This window comes from Homo sapiens, chromosome 4 (assembly GCF_000001405.40).
Source record: "Homo sapiens chromosome 4, GRCh38.p14 Primary Assembly".
In the NCBI taxonomy this organism is placed as follows: Eukaryota; Metazoa; Chordata; class Mammalia; order Primates; family Hominidae; genus Homo; species Homo sapiens.
In genome coordinates, this window is record NC_000004.12 from 152,435,166 (window position 1) to 152,458,205 (window position 23,040).

Consider the following 23,040-nt stretch of genomic DNA (forward strand, 5'->3'; position numbering starts at 1 on the left):
CATACTTCTTCATAATCACAATATAAATGTTAAAGTAAGGAAAATGGCACTGACATATCAGACTGTCTATTCCTCAGAACCCATTTGAGTTTTGTATCTGAAATACTTCCTTGATCCTTTCTTTATTTTCATTCCTTTAACAACTTTGAAAGATTATAAGCCATTCATTTTGTATAACGGCCCTTAATTTTGGTTTGTCTAATTTTGGATTCACATTATGCATCGCAGGCAGGAATATGACGGAAGTGATACTATGTTTCTCTCATTGCTTTGTATTATCAGGTAGGCATATTTCCAGTTCATCCCATTATTGATCTTCACTTTCAACCTTTCTCAATCTTTCTACACTGGAGGCACACTTAAAATAATTTTCAGATCTCAGGAACCCCTGCATTAAAATGGTTGTATCTACAACTCACACTACATTAGCTTGATTAGCAAGTTGTAGATATAATAATTCAATGATACTTGTCAGTGCTCTTCTGAGTAGACGATTTTTTTTCTGCGGGTTTGTTTTACAGGCATACCTCATTTTACTGGACTGCAGTTTACTGCACTTCACAAATAGTATATTTTTTTAAAAATTGGAAGTTTGTGGCAATCCTATGTTGAGCAAGTCTATCAGCACAATTTTTTCAAAAGCATGTGGTAACTTCATGTCTCTGTATCACATTTTGGTAATTCTTGCAGTATTTCAAACTTTTTCATTATTATTGTATCTATTATGATGATCAATGATCAGTGATCTTTCATGTTACTACTGTAATTGTTTTGGGGTGCCACAAACCGCACCCATGGAAGACGGCAAAAATGTTGTGTATTCTGACTACTACACCAACCAGCCATTCCCCCATCTTTGTCCCTCTCCTTAGGCCTCCCTATCCCCTAAGACAAAACAATATTAAAATTAGGCCAATTAATAATCCTAAAATGGCCTCTAAGCATTCAGGCAAAAAGGAAGAGTCTCACTTTAAATCAAAAGCTAGAAATGCAAAAGAAAAGTTCTTGAAGGAAATTAAAAGTGCTACTCCAGTGAACACATAAATGATAAGAAAGTGAAATAGCCTTATTGTTGATATGGAAAAAGTTTTGAGTGATCTGAATAAAAGGTCAAATCAACCATAACATTTCCTTAGACCAAAGCTTTATCCAGAGCAAGGCCCTAACTCACTTCAATTCTATGAAGGCTGAGAGAGGTGAGAAAGCTTCAGAAGAAAAGCTGGAAGCTAGCAGAGGTTGGTTCACGGGCTTAAAAAAAGAAGCTGTCTTGATAACATATAAGTACAAGGTAAAGCAGCAAATGCTGATGCAGAAGCTGCAGCAAGTTACCTAAAAGGTCTAGCTAACTAAGATCACTGACGAAGGTGGCTACACTAAACAACAGATTTTCACTGTAGATGAAACAGCCCCCTGCTGGAAGATGCCATCCATGACTCTTCTAGCTGGACAGGTGAAGTCAATACCTGCCTTCCAAACTAAAGGACAGGCTGACTCTCTTGTTAGGGGCTGATGCTGCTGTTGACTTTAGGTAGAACAGTGCTCATTTACCATTCCAAAAACTGTAGAGCTCTTAAGAATTAGGCTAAATATACTCTCCCTGTGCTCTACAAATGGAATAACAGAGCCTAGATGGCAGCACATCCATTTATTGCAAGACTTTACTAGACATTTTAAGCCCACTGTTGAGACCTACTGCTCAGAATGAAAGATTCCTTTCAAATATTACTCATTGCTCAATGACAACGAACCTGGTCACCCAAGAGCTCTGATGGAGATGTACATGGAGATTCATGTTGTTTTCATGCCTAATAATACAATACCCATTCTGCAGCCCATTAATCAAGGGTCATTTCTACTTTCCAGTCTTGTTTTAGAAATACATTAGCTGTTTTATATATATACATAGTGAATCCTCTGATGGATCTGGGCAAAGTAAATTGAAAACCTTTTGAGAAGGATAACTGCACTCCAGATACCATTAAGAATATCTGTGTTTCACAGAAGGAGGTCAAAATATCAACATCAACAGGAGTTTGGAAGAAGTTGATTCCAACCCTCGTGGATGACTTTGAGGGGTTCAAGACTTCAGTGGAGGGCTACTCAGGAGGCTGAGGCAGAAGAATCACTTGAACCCGGCAGGCGCAAGTTGCAGTGAGCTGACTGAGATCGTGCCACTGCACTCCAGCCTGGGAGACAGAGCCAGACTCCATCTCAAAAAAAAAAAAAATTCAGTGGCGGAAGTCACTGCAGGCGCGTAGAAATAGCAAGAGAACTAGAATTAGAACTGGAGTTTGACAATGTGACTAAACTGTTGCAATCTCATAATAAAACTTGAATGGATAAGGTGTTGTTTCTTCTGAATGAGCAAGGAAAGTAGTTTCCTGAGACAAAGTTAAACAATTTAGAATACTGCATACACTTAATTGATAAACCAGCGGCAGGATTTGAAAGGATTGCCTCCAGTTTTGAAAGAAGTTCTACTCTGCATAAAATGCTATCAAACAGCATCACACGCTACAGAGAAATCGTTCATGACAGGAAGAGTCAATCAATGCAGCAAACTTCATTGTTATTTTAAGAAACTGACACAGCCATTCCAACCCTCAGCAACATCACTCTATCAGTCAGCAGCCATCAACACTGAGGCAAGACTACAGCAGTAAAATGATCGTGACTCCCTGAAGGCTCAGGTGATTGTTAGCATTTTTTAGCAATCAAGTATTTTTTAGCCAGGCGCGATGGCTCACGCTTGTAATCTCAGCACTTTGGGAGGCAGAGGTGGGCAGATCACTTGAGGTCAGGAGTTCAAGACCAGCCTGGCCAACATGGTGAAACCCGGTCTCTACTAAAAATATAAAATTAGCCGGGTGTGGTGGCGGGTGCCTGTAATCCCAGCTACTTGGAAGGCAGAGGCAAGAGAATCGCTTGAACCTGAGAGGCGGAGGTTACAGCGAGCCAATACCATACCACTGCACTCCAGCCTGGGCAACAGAGCAAGACTGTCTCAATAAATAAATAAATAGTAAAGTATTTTTTAGTTAAGGTATGCACACTTTTTAGACAGAATGCTATTGCATACTTAATAGGCTACAATGCCATGTAAATATAACTTTATATGCACTGGGGAAACAATAAATTCTTGTGACTAACTTTATTATGATATTTGCTTAATTGTAGTGGTCTAGAACCAAATCCATGGTATCTTCAAAGTATTAATTCTAACAAAAAGTGGCCAGGCACGGTGGCTCATGCCTGTAATCTCAGCACTTTGGGAGGCCAAGCCAGGTGGATCACTTGAGGTCAGGAGTTCGAGACCAACTTGGCCAACATGGTGAAACACTGTCTCTACTAAAAACATAAAAATTAGCCAGGAGTGGCACACACCTGTAATCTCAGCTACTCAGGAGGCTGAGGAACGAGAATCACTTGAACCCCAGAGGCAAAAGTTGCAGTGAGCCGAGATTACATCACTGCACTCGAGCCTGGGTGACAGACTGAGACTCTGTCTCAAAAAAACAAAAACACTCTATTTTAAAACATAAAGCTATACAAGTAAAGTAAGGGACAAATGGTACTGGTAAACCTACTCCATCACCCAGTACTACCCTACCCACATGGGAGATGTGCGTGGACTTATTTAACAGCACAGAAAAAATATACAAACATGCACACCCACTGCTACTTCATGTCAATATAGTAGCAGCAATGATAAAACAATGGGACAACTACAGACAACAGTCTACTTTCCTATTAAGACATGTTCTTGTAGTGTACATTAGTTCATTCATTCATCATTTGGGCGATGAGGTCAGTATAATGTGAATGTCACTTTAGTCCAAAATTTTCCCCAGCATAGTAAAGTTTTAAAGCCAGCAGGGACAAGCTTTCTCACAAAGACAGAGCTTAAGCAATACATGATGACCTTAAGAAAAAAACTAGAAATCCAGAAGAGGGTAACCAGAGGCTAGTTAATGGCTTTAAACTGCTAGGCATTCCACAATGTTAAAACCATCTGGTCAAGCTGTGAGTACAGATAGAAAATCCATGACAATATTTTTCCCACGTTAATTTTTTTTTTTAAGGGGTGAGAGGCAACTGATAAAAACTACACCCTGGATCAGATTTACTAGTTTTCACAATTTCATCATAAGTAGAAATGAATGTTCTCGAGGACCTACATTTCAAAGGAGAAAGCATAAATCCTAGAACTTAGAACTAACTGGGGTAAATATTTAGCTATATAATATTTTTATTAGAATGGGTACTGGTTTCGTTACTACAGAGATTACAAGTTTACACAGGAACAAGCCACTCAGAAACCGATTTTCAGGGCCCGATTTTGCAGAGCTTCAGGTTTTCTTCAGAGACAACTATACTGTTATATAACAAAAGTAACTGCCTGTACTATGGTTATTTAAAGAAGTCCACGGTGGCTCAGGCCTGTAATCCCAGCACTTCGGGAGGCTGAGGCGGGCCGATCACGAGGTCAGGAGATTGAGACATCCTGGCTAACCCAGTGAAACCCCGTCTCTACTAAAAAATACAAAAAAATTAGCCAGGTGTGGTGGCAGGCACCTGTAGTCCCAGCTACTCAGGAGGCTGAGGCAGGAGAATGGTGTGAACCCAGGAGGTGGAGCTTGCAGTGAGCCAAGATCGTGCCACTGCACTCCAGCCTGGGTGACAGAGCAAGACTCCGTCACAAAAAAAAAAAAAAAAAAAAAGTCCAATGTCACCTCCTGCTTCATACAGACCTGGCTTTACTTCTTCCATATGTGCTGTTATGGGGTAAACCAATCTGCACTAAAAGATTAAATTTTATTGCTACTAAACACTTAAAAATTATTTTCAGTCAATCCAACATATTGCCCATTTTTGTTTTAAGAAATACTAATAAAAAGGACTGGAGTGAGATATTCAAAATGAGTCAAAATTAGGCAATAACAAATACAGACTGTAATAGCATAGGTAGAATATGTGGCCTCTTATGCCAAACTAAATTTAAATTCTGGTATATACTATGTCTTCTAAAAAAATTTTTTTTCAGTTTCTTAATTTTATAATAATGCCACAAGGAAGATGACAACCATTAGAATGACAAATTCTTCCTTTAGAAATAATCTCTTTAGCTTGCAGCACAACACCTTTGAAATTATTTTCTTTATGAAAATCTCAAAGTATTAAGGAGAAAGCAGTACATACTGTCCCTGGTTAGAGAGGATACATTTCTTCACTAAGCAGAACAATAACAATAACAAAAATTGACTTCAGCATTCAAATTTCTGTTGACAACATGTGTTTAAGATGATTCTATCACTTAGGAATGTCAAACTCTAACCAAAATTTAATTTTGGTAACACAAATTATTAAAAACTTAAAATATTTAAGTTTACCTGAAATTTTGTTTTACATCAAGGCATTTTTAAAACTTCTTATGATTTTCTGAAACAGGTATATCCTGAAATGTCAAATCACTAAAGTTATAAATACCAGTGGAGCACTCTTCAAAACTGGGAAGGGATATATGAGCTAACAAAAAAGGGGAGAAAATGGTACCTTGCACAGAACAAGTACACCCATCTAGTAAAGAGATGTAATCTAAGCATTCCCCATCCCACTCCCTGCTCCAAATCATGTCCTATATGCTTTATATAGAATGTCATTTGGACCCTGACTGTTCACACCACTTTCTATTCTCTCTACCAATTCAGGTTCAATACTGTAACATTCTGAAACACTGTTTCTCTTTCTTCATTGCTTAAGTTTATACGGTTTTTTTTTTTCAATAACGTTCACTAAGCGTCATGTCTCTTCTATGTAGAAATTTTAAGATGGAAGCGGCAATATATCTTTCTTATTGAAATAAAAACATTGATCAAGAACAATTTCCACTGTGATAAACAGAAAATACGTATCAAAATTACACAGACCTACCTACATAGAATGTATATTCAGCAACTCGAACTTATATGGCTAAGTATGTTCCTCTCCTTATTGAGATGACTGAAGCTTTCAGAGAGCTGTGTACCTATCAACTTGTGATATCTCAATCTCAAAGGTTTTGTTTCTTTACTCCTCCCTTCTTTGTCGCCTGTCTCTGAGAGGAAAAATGTAATCTCCATCATTTCTAAGACTATTAATACCATCAGTAGCTTTGATTTTCTCTACCCCTAAGCCTTTCAGAAATTTGCTCCATTAGTCACACGCCTCCTGCTTAAAGGTTCAATTTCTTTAATCTTAATCTTGTCTCTTTGTTAATATTCACCAGTATATGACACTGATTCTTTAATGTCAATATAAGACCAACATAAATGAGTGAAGTCTCATAAATAGGAAGAAAGTTGCCCCAATCCAACTATTCAGATTTTTAAAATAATAAAATTCAGTTTTCTTTTCAATTCACTCTTAATGAAGCTCTAATAATAAAATGGAAGTAAAGGAGGAAGCAACAATCAGTATCACAAAATACGCAAAGAGCCAAGACTATATGGCAATTATTTCCAATCTTTATTTTTGAATAACCAATGACTTGCTGGTTATGCCAAATTATATCTAAAAGTTAACCCAGGTCTGATTCTAAAAAATAAATTTTAAAAAGCTCTCTTTGGAGGATAGACTGCTATTACTTTCAACTAGTCATTTCCAAAATTTAGGAATTAATTTCCTATATAGAAGCAGAATATGTTACAAAACTTTGCTCCTATGCTCACTTTTCTTTTAAAAATTAAACCTGTTTCTTAAACATTATCTTTAAAAGGTTAACACGATTTTTATTCACTCTTAATCACACATTGTAGGGTAAAGAATAACATTTCACCATCCCTCCCAGAAAAAAGTAACCTCAATCGGAATTTTGATATTCTTCCTGTAAGTTTTGTGATCTTATACAAAATTCAAGACATTTCCAATCTTACTTCTAGGCACTAAAAGATATTGCTTATAATATATTAATCGTAACTATCATATAACTTCCCCTACTTATCAAAGCAATGTTGTTGCTCTGAGGTTTCCAACTTCTCATTTCCCACTCCACACAGCTTCCTCAGGGTATTATATGCTTTCTCGTAGCATCAACTACAATCTACAGTGGTGGTTCTCAAACTTCAGTAGAATTACAGATCACTCTGGAGGCAGGGGTTCTTGTATTAAAATGTAAATTCCTAGGCTGGTAGCAAAAACGAAATCTATGGCTCCTTCTAAATTCACCTCTTCCAAGATGGCTTCCCAAGTAACTCTTCACCACTACTCCCAAACATTATTAGTTTAAAAACTTTCTGTTCCAACAGGTTCTATTCCATACCTATGTTCTGAAATACCTTGTAACTATTTTGTTGTCTGTCTCTCTCATTAGGACTGTAAACTCCAAGGAAGTAATTTTTGGCTTCTCTGTTTTAGTATTTCCAGTGGTTTACACAAGAGGTTAGCTATTAGCAGGCGATCGTTAAATGCCAGTACACATGTACTGACCAGATTAAAGGACAGGTAACAAATAGTTGAATAAAAATCAGCAATAATGACTCATTATATACTTTGCTCTACACTTTGACAGTCTGAATTAGGAAGGCTTATACAACAGTTTTGTTTCCCAAGTTATGAACACTTAAAAGTTTCAGACAGACCAACAAGGACAGTATCAGGGATAAGAACATGGGTCTTTAAGTTAGACATTACTGAGGTAAAAACCTAGATCCACCACTTAATATGATCTCAGGAAAGCTTATAATAGTTTCAGTGCCTCCTCAACGCTAAAACAAAGCTCATATCTAATTAATACATTCTAGGTGAAGATTGAAAGAAGTAACATATTAAAGCACCCAAGGCCAGGCGCGGTGGCTCATGCCTGTAATCCCACCACTTTGGGAGGCCGAGGCAGGCGGATAACCTGAGGTTGGGAGTTCAAGACCAGCTTGACCAACACGGAGAAGCCCTGTCTCTACTAAAAATACAAAATTAGCCGGGCGTGGTGGTGCATGCCTGTAATCCCAGCTACTCGGGAGGCAGAGGCCGGAGTATCACTTGAACCCGGGAGGCGGAGGTTGTGGTGAGCCGAAATCGCACCATTGCACTCCAGCCTGGGCAACAAGAGTGAAACTCCTTCTCAAAAAAACAAAACAAAACAAAAAACATATTAAAGCACCCAAAACCTGGTGTATGGCAGATAACCAGAATATGGTAGCTGTTACTTTAATTAAGCTATTTCTTTAAAATTAAACGATTAAAGTGTATGAAAGTGGGAGAAACATTTTCCTTTCAAAAAAATACAGTAATATTTTAAAATAAATACACAAATTACTAATTTTAATCTACAGAGTTTTATCGATCAGTTAAATTACAATTAAAAATCAAAACCACACAGCCTAAAACAGGGCTTTGTGCTTAACGTGGCTACCCAACTGACTCCTGCATATAGTTGGCGGTCTTTTAAGAACCCAATTCTTTTTAAAAACTTTGAAAATTGATTTTTTTCTCTTCTTTTGAAAGACACTTTCTACTGCAGATTAAAATCCAATCAAAATTTGCTGGGTGGGTAGGTAAAGGCATATATGATCCATTTGCATAAACACACTCAATAATTAATACAAGAGTTAAGAATATTAGTATAAAGGGGTCCTTATACTAGCTTAAAGGATTTACAATCTTCTAAAAAATTTTAATGTTTTTCAGAGAAAGTTTGCAACTGTTCCCTGTTTTATTAATTTACTTTGTCCTATTTCAAAGGTTGAGTCTAAGGTATAGTAGAAAATTTGAAAACATAAGACATGTAAAGATGAAATATTTCAAATTATCCATAATATCATCATCCAGAGATAATCACTTTATAAATTTGCTGTATTTCCTTCCAGCTCCTTCTCTACAAAGCGTTCTCTACAAACATGTGCTTCTCTACAAACATGTGCTTCTCTACAAACATGTGCTTTAAAAATGGGTGCCATGTTAGGTTACACTACATGAAAATGCTGATATTCTACTACTCTTGACCTACAAAAACGGTAATTTCATATGATTTAACCTAAGACCATATGCACTATATGTACATATATGTATGACCATAATTTTATATTCTTCGAGACTTTACATTAAATCATGAGCACTTTCCTATGTCTTACAAAATCTTCCCCATATAACATTTTATGGCTGGATGGTTAGTCCAAACAAATGGATATAAAAAACAAACCATTTATCTGATGTTTGAAATTGAGTTGTTTCCAGTTTTTCACCATTATAGATGATAATGGTACGAACATCCTTGTGCCTAAGTCTTCCTGCGAATCTGAGTATCTCCTTAGGAATTATCTCTATAATTCCTAGAAGTAGGTTTTCTGAGTCAAAGTTTATGAATACTTTTAATCCTAAACAAGTTCCTAAAATGAGTACCACAAAAGAACCAATTTACATTTCACCATAAGTCAGAAGGATAATTTTACAAACCATCTATGGTTTGTAAACAAATTCTTAAAGGAAAAGCTGCAAGGCATAGAAACAAGGTAAAACAGGAAAACATTCTCAATATCATTGGTTGTAACAATTTGGTATAACCAAGAATCATGTGAGAGGCTTATTTAAAAACAAAGATCTCTGGATCCCATTCCGGTGATTCTTTCAATGTGCCCTGATGTAAACTGGTACTTTTAACCACCATCCAAAGTGATAGATACAAGTGATTCCTGAACCATACTTTCTTTGTTTGAGACAGGGTCTCACTCTGCTGTCCAGGCTGGACTGCAGTGGCACAATAATAGCTCAGCTCACTGCAGTCTCGACCTGCCAGACTCAGATGATCCTCCTACATGGCTGTGACTACAGGCACATGCCACCACACCTGGCTAATTTTCTTGTATTTTTTGTAGAGATGAGGTTTTGCCACGTGTCCCAGGCTGGTCTCAAACTTCTCGACTCAAGCGACCCATCTGCCTCTACCTCCCAAAGCGCTAGGATTACCAATGTGAGCCACCGTGCCCAGCCCTGAACCACACTTTGGAAAACATTACTCCAAATAGTACAAATATGCTTTATATGAATAATTTTTCCTACGAATTATTGCTGAGTAAGAGGTGAACAAATCATTTCTTATTCAAGACTAAAAAAATTAGGTAATCATTTATATTACATCTTCAGATGAAATTTGGCTTCATCTCTACACTCACAGCTTAATTGAAAGTACAAATACAAACTGAGTATCTCTTATCTGAAATGCTTGGAACCAGAAATGTTTCAGATTTGGGATTTTTAAAAAATATTTGCATTATACTTATCAGAAATTTCAAAATCCGAAGCGCTTCAATGAGCACTTCCTTTGAGCAGCAGGCTGATGCCTAAAGTTTTGACATTGGTTCTGCTATTTCCCAGTTGTGTGATTTTTAGGAGTTGTAGAACCTCTCTGAGCTTCAGTTCTCTCATCTTTAAAAATAATCATTAGAGTCTTTCTCATAAATGACATAATTAACATAGAAGTGCTTAGTACAGGCCAGGCACAGTGGCTCACACCTGTAATCCCAACACCTTGGGAGGCCAAGCGGGGCAGATCACTTGAGGCCAGGAGTTAGAGATCAGCCTGGGCAACATGGCAGAACCCCATCTCTATTAAACATACAAAAAAATTAGCTGGGTGTGGTGGCAGGTGCCTGTAATCCCAGCTACTTGGGAGGCTGAGGCAGGATAATCACTTGAACCTAGGAGGCAGAGGTTGCAGTGAGCCAAGATCGCGCCACTGTACTCCAACCTGGGTGACACAGCAAGACTCTGTCTTTAAAAAAAAAAAAAAAAAAAAAAAAAAAAAAAACCAAAGTGCTTAGTACAGCACTTGGTCCAAAGTAAGAGTTCAATCAATGAACCTACAAACCATTTTGCCTAGGCAACAAAGATGACTGCACAGCGCTTATCTAATAGGCCATACAGGAAGAAAGCACCAATAACATAATGGCCAACCTTCTTAAAACGTGTTTACTAAAAAATATCCTAGGTACTGAATAAACTCCCTAATGACATTATCTTTGTTAGAAAGTCTAGAAAAAATTGGCAGCACCAGATTTTAATCCCAGGTCTATTCTATTAACCACTAGGATAATTTCCAGAATTACTATCCTACTTAGGAAATATTGGATATCAAAGAGATAAAACAGTATTCTTAGCAAAAACATGTTACCCACCCACCCCCCCAAAAAAAGACATAAAAAGTGAAAGGAGAGGTTTTAACATCACCTACAACTTGATTCTTTAAGAAACTTCATCCTTCTTCCTAACTCTAACTTCTATAGCTTCAAGGTCAAGTATTCTAATACTTCCCACTGGTAAGGGTAAATTGAAATCTTTTTAATGGACATTTTAAGAGCATGTTTAAGGGACTTTAAAATGTTCATACATAATTTGATCAAGGTTATCAAATAGATTAATGGCAGAGCCAAATTAAATCCAACTCTTTTAATGCTCGATCCAGGGCTCTTTAGAAAAGGCAGCTCCACTGAGGCTAGAACTTCACGCTGCCCATTTATTTTACATAAAATACTGTCTAATCACAGACCAATCATAGTTATCTTTCTAACTTTTATAAAAAGTAGTCAACACTCTGGTGTTTACTTCCTCGTTTCCTATTTGCTGAACCCATCATGAAAAGAAGCTGTCATAGACGGCACTCCAGTAAAACATATCCATGATTAATTTGCTGGTGGCCCATCATTAAACATTTTCAATATATATGAAATTCAGACACATCCTTGACCGAATCCTAAATGATATTAACATGCTTATGTTCATCAGTGTTCACAGAAGGGTTTTTTTCTTGGAAGTCAAGAGAGTCTATAAACTTTTTACCTGTTGAATAATAAAAGATTACAAATACTAGTGTTTAAATTATTTTCAATTTTCCATAATTAATGTTTAAAGTATCTGAATTAAAGGAAATGTGCAGACTAGCACAGATAATATTTTCAACTTTCTAGAAACACTAAGGCTTCAAACACTACAAGTGACTATTTGAGTACATCAAAAAGGAAAGTTCTCTTAACATGGTGATTTGAATACCACATGTGATGACAATTTTATGCCCCGTTTCTACTACAGTAAATTGTTAATCTTATTTAATTTTTGTAAATGTTTTTAGATGTGGTTGAGAGAAATGGTGTCTCTATCATGGCAAGAACAGAAACAGGGAATGATAAAGAATTCAGTATTTTTATGTGGTGGAGTCTGTATAAAACACTTTACATGAGGTAGAGGTATTGGTGAGGAAGGGAGTGGAAGAGAGTTTCTTTTCTAATCTAACACCATCAGCAAAACTTTTAAGTAATCAAAGTCTTTGACAGCATCTGAGTTTCTATGACAGTAGTTCTATTTTACAGTTAGCAATATTCCTACACTTCTATATTTGAACCAATTATTTGTTTAAAAGGCATAGAAAAGGAAAACAAAAATTATTTTAAAATAATCACTTTGAAATTTATAATACTTGATATTAGATTTTTAATTTGCTATATCCTTAAACACTACTTTAAAATAGCTTTATATATCCTCATCAGTATCCCTTAGAAGTAATACAACTCATATTTCCTAAATGGTGCCTTACCCATGAAACCACTAAGAAAGTAAAAGACCAAAAAAGGATGCAAAACAACTGCAGTACAACTCAAGAGATCAAGAACCTTACCATCATTCTAATTACAGCTAGAGTCTGAAGCTAATGAAATCTACGAATGTGAGGAATATTCCACTTCATTTAGATAACACAGCATAGTTACCAATAACTCTCATATTTTAGAGATATGCTCTCATGGTCAATACCAGAATATGTTGATATTTAGCTAGGAATATGGAGCAGAAAGACTATGAATTGATGAATGAAATAATATATAATCTCTAAAATTTCATGAAGGCATACAACTTAACCATAAAGTTACTGAGGCTACTCACAAAACTTGAAACGAAGAAAACAAGAAAGAAAAACTAATCTAATCTTTAAAATAAGTGCTGCTGCTTTAAGTGGCCGGCAGTCTCACATAAACTCCAGGCTGAAATCACAACATCCATTAGAGTGCTCCACAGCTCAGAGCAAGCAAGCAAGTGGTTGTCAGTGCAGCTAGTAAATCACCTGATCCTATTACAAAATCAATTACTGCAGTGCATTTCCATTGCTACACAATCTGATGATGACAAAATGATATTGGATATCTACTGCAAGGTCAAGAAAACTGCTAAGAACATCTTTAATTGGTCTTTTATTTTTAATCATTTGGTCTTAGTCATAATGCATCCATTTTCATTGCATATTTTTATTTGAAATAAATCTATGTAGTTACCTTTGGTTGCCTGGGACATTCGATGGATAATCTCTGCAACTGGTCTGATGTATGGCTACAAGAGAACAAATCGGAGCAGCAGGTCGAACGGCTCAACCTCTTCATTAAAGAAGAAATAATGCTGCAGCCACAGCCACACATTGACTTGCTCATTAGATGAGAATTTGACTTAAAAAATCAGAACTGGTGATGTCACATATATACTCAAAATTGTCAAACTGCCTCATTCTGCAGCTCTCTGGCTGAAAGAAACACTACTAAAAAAGAATAAAACAACAGCTTTGCTACAGAAGATGCCAGCCACAAACTCATCGCCAAGAAAAACTGGATATTAAAACAGAAGTCTCCCAGCTACTCTTTAGAAAGAAGGTAAGGTGCTTTAATATTTTAAATTGTTTTATATTAAAGCCCAAGTACTTAACAAAGGAGCAAACTCAAGACACCCCAAAATTATACTAACCACTTTCTGTCTTCCATCAGTTTAGATCTGTTTGCCTACTCCTTCAGCTCAGCCTATCCAACCTGTTCCCTCTGTAAATGCACACGATTTCAACAACCAACAGGAATGAGCTCCACCCCTCCCCGTCTCCACACACACTGTTCAAGAACCGTTTAATATCTGGAAAAGAACTGCTGCTGCATTGCTTTGAGAAACAACAGGGAGCAAATTACTGGATGGATTCTTTAACTTACCAATCAGAACTGCTGACCTTTTATGACTCTACAATTCAAGAAGCCTGCCAAATACTCACAGTAAGAATAATCAACAAATTTTACTTCTATACTATAGATTAATTTACAGAATTGTTTTCAATCTTATTATTCAATCTACAATACAAAAATATAGGCCTAAGTATTTTTTAAATAAACAAAATGTAGACAGTAGCTAATACAAATCTTTGAGGACTGATGGAAGAGGGTAGGAGGGTAACTGAATAAAATATACAAGCAAAAATTCCCTCTGGATACTTTATGTAGACTTGAGAAGTAATGAACAATAAAAATCTATAGCAAAAATACTGGTGCAGATAATGATGTAATAAACAAGCTGGATAATCCAAGGAGGCTCCTGCTATCATAAATGTTAGAAGAGTTTTAATGAGAAAAAAGGACATATGGCTATATAGGTAGGTACTGACCACAAGTAAAAAGCCATCAAAAACCTCATTGTTTTGATACTGAATTTTCTCCCACTTACTTGTCTGCATTTTATTTAAAAGATTATTTTAAAAACCACAAACCACCCTGAAAACATAAGCAACAATATTAAGTATGCTAGCTATACTATACCTTTTATACTTAAGCATTCTACCTTTGCCAATAATGCACAAAGGTATTTGTTTATACAATGTAATTAATCCACATTACAATTTCCAGGACAAGGGAGGGTCGCATTAATACAAATACTTTATAGTCTTCACAAATAATCATACTTCAAATTACTGTAACTTAAATGAACATTCATAGACCAATGATTGCTAATGTAAGAGCACCCTTTTTGGGGAAGATAGTCTAAAACTAAATAATAAACACCTTGAATTAAAATACGTATTTTAAAACTTCCCATTGTCTGTGACACTGAAAGGTTTCTTCTTTGTGTATGTAACATGCTCAATTTCTTCCCTGGTTTAAAGCTAAAAAGATCCAGCACTGCCTCTGCCTTCACCTTGCACTGCCCTTTTGATATTCATGTTATACTTAAATCAATTTCCAGAATATCTAAAAACAGGCATGCACTTCACATTCAATTTTTTAAAAATCCTTTGGTAGATAAAGGCTATGGTAACAAACAAGAAAAATAATGCAGTAACCTTTTACTCGCCTGCTGGAGGTACTGTCTGCTGCACAGAATTTTAAATCCTCATCTGCAGATGCAATTGAACTGGGTATTGCCAAGAACTCTGCTTTTCCTGTGCTGCTGCTACACAGCTATTCATCGAAAGAGCACATTATGTAGAATCTGAAGTACTATCAAATCTGAAGTTTAAGTTTCTTAAATGAGCAAAAGAACTTCTAAAATCTAGCTATACCCCTGCTCTGTCACACTTTCAGATGCATGCCAGCCACGTTAGCGAAAAATGTCCTAGTGCTGCTATGTACTCCTAGCAAATGGGTAAGCTAGGGAAGCTAAGAGTAGTAATGAAAAAATTAATACCACATACTAATGTAAAAACAAGTACCAGGCATTAAAACCTGGTAGGATTTGTGTTGCCAAAAAATGTATAACCTGTCCATAACAATTTGATATTTGTATTAGTTTTCTAATTAAAAGCCTATAAATAAATCATGTGTCTAATATTACCAACAAGCATCAATTAAAAATCCCTGCCATACTGCTATTAATGAAAGTTATCTTACTAGCTATTCAGTCTGCATCACTATTGTTTCTAAAGAAAACTATGAAATAAAAGATTCAAAGGTATAGAATACTTGTGAAATAGCTTGACTTGCAATGTTCCTTCCTCCTCGTCCCCCACACCAATATCCCTTGGATCTTATATTAATTATAACTTAGAGTATAAGCAATATGACGTATTTTCATTATTTATCATTTTCCTTCCACATCAGCTAATTTGATGTATAGTATTGTTGATTCTTAGGTTGCAGATAGATGGAGCTGGAAGGCAAACCAACAAAGATAAGGTTTAAAAATTAGAAGAAAAAGAAGCATAATATTGTTTATGAAAAAGTTTATAATTAACTTTGTCTAGGTACAGATACGTTTTCAAAGAGGAAAGAACATTAATACTTGCTCACTAACAACAATTAAGGATCTTGAGTATTTCTTCAATTAACTAATGCATTTTAAAGTTGCTTTCCCCTTTAATTGCAAGTAACTGTCAAAACTTGTTTTAAAAATATTTAACAATCCATTTCTATCAAATGATTTTCATTTCCTTAAGATACAAGGTGATCACTTCTCTTAAATGGTAGTCTAAAAGATGTGAAATCTACAAACACAACCCTGAACAAGAGACATCCTTCCTCAATGCTCAAATTTATTTGCATAAATAAGCATAAGCTAATTTTTATAGTTCCCCTAAAGGTAAAAATGTATCAAATAAGAATCCGGCTCCCAGAACTCTGGGATGCTGAGTTGGGTGCAAGTAGACTGCTTGAGCCCAGGAGTATGAGAGCAGCCTGGGCAACATGGTAAACCCTGTCTCCACAAAACATACAAAAATTACTGAGGCATGGTGGCACTTGCCTGTAGTCCCACCTACTTCCTACTTGGGAAGCTAAAGTGGGAAGATCACTTGAGCCCAGGAGGTGGAGGCTGCAGTGAGCTGTGACCGCACTCCAGCTTGGACGACAGAGCAAGACCCTGTCTCAAAAAAAAAAAAGAAAAAAAAAGTATCAAATAAAAACTTAGCCAATTGACACTATATTTTAAAAATTATTGTTTCATTTAAAAACACCATTTGTCACACATAGCCTCTGAGAGATGACTCCAGCAATTTTCAAAATATGAACCCTGGGAGTTCCTGAGACACTTACATGGAGTTTCTAAGATCAAAATTATTTCTATAATACTAAGATGTTACTTATGTTTTTTACTCTGTCTCTTGAGTATACACAAAGTAAAGTTTTTGTCAGAGTATAGAGCATGTAATATCCTAACAAACTGAATGCAAAAGCAGATATGAGCATCCAACTGTCTTCCTGTAAGCCAGACTTTGTTAATTGTGTAAACATGTAATTAGCTGTTATTTTTAAATAAATTTAATAAATGAAAACTATTTAAACTTCTCAGCTTTATTTTCTAACAGGGTAAATATCAAGAGAGATAACCCACATAAGTCAAAGCTTTTTGGGGTCTTCAATAATTTTTAAAAGTTTAAAGAGATCCAGAGAGCAAAACAAATTTAGAATCACTAAAAATCTTTGCTCACATTTTTTCCTTAAAATACAGCGTTGGTCATTAAAAGGACTTCAGTAATTTTAAAGCAGAGATTAGAAAAATACTCACTTTAGAATAGCAAGTATAAAATGCTTCTGAATTTTCACTGTTATTTTTAAAACCCAATTTTTAGCCATCTTCATTGTTGAGCACAATTGTTATCAGCTGTGTCTCAGAATAGTGTTCAATACTAACATCTTTCTTTTTTTAAGTAGTAGAACAACTACAGCAGTCCCTGGAGCAAAATTTAAAAATCTAGCTTATAAATACACGTTGAAAAAGAAAGAAGATCAGTTGTTAGGAAAAGGGAAATGTGACATTATATATGTTTAACATAAAAAGAAATTATAAGAACAGCTTCTAAAACTCATCTTGACTGTACAAACCACTAGTTTTAAGTAATTTTTTTTCCTGAGAAGAAATACATAAACTTTAAATAGAACCTCAAGAACGGATTGCCTTGCAGTAATAAATAAATTAGGAGGAAAACACTTTCAAGAATACATTAAAGACAATTAGAGAACTTACAGTATAAAAACTTAATTACTGGCCAGGCGCAGTGGCTCACGCCTGTAATCCCACCACTCTGGGAGGCTGAGGCAGGTGGGTTCCTGAGGTCAGGAGTTTGAGACCAGCCTGGCCAACATGGTGAAACCCCCGTCTCAACTAAAAATACAAAAAATTAGCCAGGCGTGGTGGCACATGCCTGTAATCCCAGCTACTCGGGAGGCTGAGGCAGGAGAATCACTTGAACCTGGGAGGCGGAGGTTGCAGTGAGCCAAGATCGCACCATTGCACTCCAGCCTGGGCAACAGAGTGAGACTGTTTCAGAAAAAAGAAGAAAAAAACTTAATTATTTATGCTGAGAATATGTTAAATGCTTGAAATATTAAGGCTTTACAGTCAAACAGGAAAGATGATTTCTTATCTTAATTTCTTATGTAGTAGCCCACATTTTCCCCTGTAAATCCCACAGAGTGAATTTTCAAAGGGGTTCTCCTTGGTTCTGTCCTTAGCCAAACCCCACGTCACCCCATGTCTTCTACAACTCTGGTTCATTCAGTCTATTCAGTCACCCATTCAGTCATTCAAATATTTACTCAGCACCTACCACATGCTATGCAGGTATGGATAAGGAAGATGCAGCCATACAAAAACGGGCTAAAATCTCTCCTGCCTTCACTGAACTTTTATATTTCAAGGAGAAGGTACAGAAAAAACAAGAGAAATATTTTTCTAGTAAACGGTGGCAGCAGGTAAGGAGAAAAAATACAAGAGGAAGGATGAAATGGCCAGCAAATGCCTCATTTTCTTAATGAAAATGTAAATCGAATTTTTAAAGATTTAAGAACATTTTTTAAATGTTGAAAGAGTGGTGGCAGCAAAAACGTGGTCAGTGAACAAAATTTGAATTTTTTCAGCATGTGTTAGTTTCTAAAAGAAAAAATATTTTTTAGAATTTTTTTGAATTTTTAAATGAAATTTTTCAAAACGTGGAGAAAGGAGTATAATGAACCTCTATATATATACTGTCACCTATATTTAACAGGTACTGAAATATTAGCAATATTGCTTTATCTATCTTTTATTCATTTTTTCCAAGGTATTTTAAAGTAAATTCCAGACATCACGTCATTACTTCCCTCATCCATATACATCATTATGTATCACTAAATAATTTGGCCACTGCCTTTCATACTCACAAAGTCACTATACACATTCAAAATAAGTATATTTCCACGATATTAAGTAATACCAGTCAATATTCAAATTCCCCATCTTATTTTAAAAATGTATTTTCTAGTTAATTTGATCTAAACAGAATCCAAAGAACTACCCTTTGTATATAACTATAGTACTGCTTCTTATATCTCTTTTACTGGAGAGTAACTCTCTAAGCCCCCCCCCCCTTTTTTTTTTTTTTCCACGCCAATACCTTGCAGAAACCATGTTAGGTGTCTCATATTCTGAAATTGTCTGTGCTTCTTCACTGTGTCACTTACCTTGTACCCCAGTCTCCAATATTTCCTACAGATAACTTTTTTCTTTTTGTTTTCTTTTGCCTACAAATAACTTTTGATAATGACTATTCCAAATTCCAACCTGAATAGAAATACTAGCAATATAGCATCAGACATAGGAGCTCTTCTAACTTCAGAGAAGTACTTTAAGTCTATTGGTAATTTTCAAACACTGGTTGAACTGAATGCAAAAAAAATTTAACAGGGTGCAATAGCTCTGAAAGGACAGAAGAGGGAACTATAATATTTAGGAATTCCACACTAAATAGCCCTTTTTAAAAAAAACTAAACACTGACTTTCAACTTGGCAACAGCTAAAAATGTAGTAATAATTACTTTATATATCCTCCTTCCAAAAAACAAACAAAAAAACCTAGAATGCAGAAGAAAAAGATATGGAAGATAAGGATAAAGACTGAATGTACAGATATTTGTAAGTTGTATCCACTAATAAATATTAGCCATTAACAAGAGCTACCATTTAAAATTATTCTACCAAACAATGCACCTCCACTTTCCAAATTAATAATAAAAAAGCATATATCTAAATAAAACTAATATATGTGTTTCCTTAAATAACCATTTTAGTTATAAATTAAAATGTGTTTTTAAAAATTATTCTTTTTAAAGAAAAGTCATCAGGAAATCCAGAAATTAAAGGTTTAAATTACATATCCATTTATTTGAAAGGAAGCTGTAAAAAGACTTTAATAATAATATCTCAAGAATATAGTCCACTAAGATATTTGTTCTAAATACTGATTTTTTAAATATAAATTTAATTTATAAAAACATAAATCTGTCACTTTAATTAAAACTACTTTATAACAAGTACAGAACAGAACTGCAAATGTATGTATAAATGATTGCTGCTATACCCAGGCAACACAGGAGAGTTAGTCACATAACTACAGGACGGAATTCAGGTAAACTTTCTGTTACAATCTAAACAAGGATCTCCTTCACTTCAGTTTCCAATAACATCTTCCTCATTTCCTTCAAAGCACTCACAAGCAGCAGCACCTTTAATGTTCACATTTCCACCAACAGTCTCTTTATGATGATTTAGGTATTCTCTAAGACGATACACATTTTCTCTACTGTGCTCCTCACTTCCTTCTGGGGCATCACCAGCAGAGCCTTTAACATCTGTATTTCTACCATCTGTACATTCAAGATAATCTAGGTTTTCTCCATTATGTTCCTCAAAATTCTACCAGCTTCTGCCAATACCCCAATTTCAAAGCCACTTTCACCTTTTTAGGTATTTGTTACAGCGGCATTCCACTTACAGGCAAAATCTATATGGGCTGTGGTAAGAAATTACTATAAACTTGGTGTAAAGCAACACAAATTTATTATCTCATGGCCTTAGCTCATGGCCCCTTCCCTTCATCTTCAAAGCACATCATTCCAACCTCTGCTGCAGTCATTCATCTCTTCTGCCCTGATTGGTTTTGCCTCCTTCTTACAAGGACTCTCTGATTACACTGGGCTCACCTGGACAATCCTGGCTAATCTCCTCATTTCAAAATCTTTAACTTAATCACATATGCAAAGTTTGTGGAGCCATATCAGGTAACATATATACAGCTTTTGGAAATTAGGATATGGACATCTTTCAGGGGTCATTATTTGGCCTGCCAAAATACAACACAAAAAGCATGAAATATAAAAGAAAAACTATAAATGTGTATTCATCAAAATAAAAGACTTGAACTTGAGAAGACATGGGTAAAGAAAAAAAGGCAAACCACAAACTGAAAAAAATCTGCAAGTAATTATCCAAAGGACTAGTATTTAGCACATAGAAAGAACTCTTATAATTCAATAATAAGACAAACAATACAATGAAAAAATTTAGGCACTGTGGCTCAAGCCTGTAATCCCTGCACTTCTGGAGGCTGAAGTGGAAGGATGGCTTGAGGCCAGAAGTTTGAGACCAGCCTGGGCAACAGTCAGGCCCTATCTCTTTAAAAAAATCCTTAAAAAAAAAAAAAAAAAAAAAAAAAAACAGCCAAGTGTTGTAGTACACATCTGTAGTCCCAGCTACTCAGGAGGCTGAGGCAGGGGGATCACTTGAACTCAGGAGTTCAAGGCTGCAGTGAGCTATGATCACACCACTGCACTCCAGCCTAGGAGACAGAGCAAGACTCTTACTCAAAATAAATAAATCAATAAATCAATAAGCAAAGATTCGAGAAAATACTTCAACAGAAAAAGATGTGAATGGCAAACAAGCATAGGTAAAGATGTTCAACATAATTCGCATTTTCCTAATGATTAATGAATGCCACAATAAGACATTATTATACAGCTACTAAAACAAATCAAATTAAAATACTGTCCATACCAAGAATTCTGAGGATGTGAAGCAACTGGAATGCTCATACACTGCAAGTGGTAATATAAACTGATACAAACCGGAAAAGTTTGGCAGTGTCTTATACAGGTAAACATACACCTACTATATGAATCAGCCATTCCACTCATAGCAGAAATAAGAGCACAAGTCCACATAAAAAACCATGCACCAACATTTGTGACCACTTTATTCATAATAGTCAATAACTGTTAATAACCCAATCCAGCAATAACAGCTAAATGGAAATGGGCAAAAAATAAATTGTACTATATACTAAAAATGAAATACTATTCCCCAGTTAAAAAAACAAAAACAAAGTTTTGATCATTCATCCAACAATATAGACAAATCTCAAATATATTGAGCTAGGGTTGAAAGAAGTCAGACAAAAGAGGAGACACATTATATGATTCTACCTACATAACATTCAAGAATATACAAACTGACCTACAGTAACAGAAAGCAAATCAGTGGTTGCCTGCGAAGTGGGGAGTGAAGAGATTACAAAGAGGCTTTTAAGGGTGATGTATATATTCACTGGATATATACATTGTGGTGATGGTTTCATGAGTGCACATATACGTCAAAACTCAACAAATTATGCATTAATTAGAACTCAATAGGCCGGGTGCAGTGGCTCACGCCTGTAATCCCAGCACTCTGGGAGGCCGAGGCAGGCGGATCACGAGGTCAGGAGAGCGAGACCATCCTGGCTAACACGGTGAAACCCCATCTCTGCTAAAAATACAAAAAAAATTAGCTGGGCGTGGTGGCAGGCGCCTGTAGTCCCAGCTACTTGGGAGGCTGAGGCAGGAGAATGGCGTGAACCCAGGAGGCGGAGCTTGCAGTGAGCTGAGATCGTGCCACTGCACTCCAGCCTGGGTGACAGAGCAAGACTCTGTCTCAAAAAAAAAAAAAAAAAAAAAAGAACTCAATAAAACTGGATTTTTTTTCATTAAAAAATTAGAAGATTAAAATGGAGCAGAGAAATTAAAATCTGAAAACAACTTCTCTAGTAGAATCCTAACAAACAGTCTGGAGACAAAGTAAAGAATCTCAAAGACAGCTCAAAAGATAAAAGATGTTACACTGATACTGTGGAATTTAAGAAAGATTTCTGGATAGAAGGTAAGAAAAAGGGTAGTGGTACTCAGTTTCCAATTCATTTCTCTTCTACTCATATCTTCCCCACCCCTACTAAAAAAAAAAAAAGTTACTTCAGGAAATTCTTTTAATTTGATGTTTACAATATACTTTCTTTGTTTTTTGTTTTGTTTTGTTTTGTTTTTGAGATGGAGTCTCGCTCTGTTGGCAGTCTCTGTTGCCATGCCAGTGCACTGGTGCAGTCTCAGCTCACTGCAACCTCTGCCTCCCGGGTTCAAGAGATTCTCCTGCCTCAGCCTCCCAAGTAGCTGGGATTACAGGCACGCACCACCACGCGCAGCTAATTTTTGTATTTTTAGTAGA

General features: G+C 36.0%; 1 protein-coding gene across 15 annotated transcripts in view; it reads right to left on the reverse strand.

The window, feature by feature from the left end:
• FBXW7 (F-box and WD repeat domain containing 7) overlaps positions 1–23,040 on the reverse strand; it is a 215,549-nt gene that overhangs the window by 114,622 nt on the left and 77,887 nt on the right. Inside the window, exons 1-2 of one of the 15 annotated variants that reach the window (XM_047415901.1) lie at positions 15,717–21,194; positions 13,287–15,215 (exon numbers count right to left, since the gene is read on the reverse strand). The exons of 13 other annotated variants lie outside the window; for them this stretch is intronic. The gene's annotated coding sequence lies outside the window, so the exon portion shown is untranslated. Of the gene's footprint in view, positions 1–13,286; positions 21,195–23,040 lie in introns of those variants that run through there. One more of the 15 variants, XM_047415899.1, reaches the window with a different exon arrangement.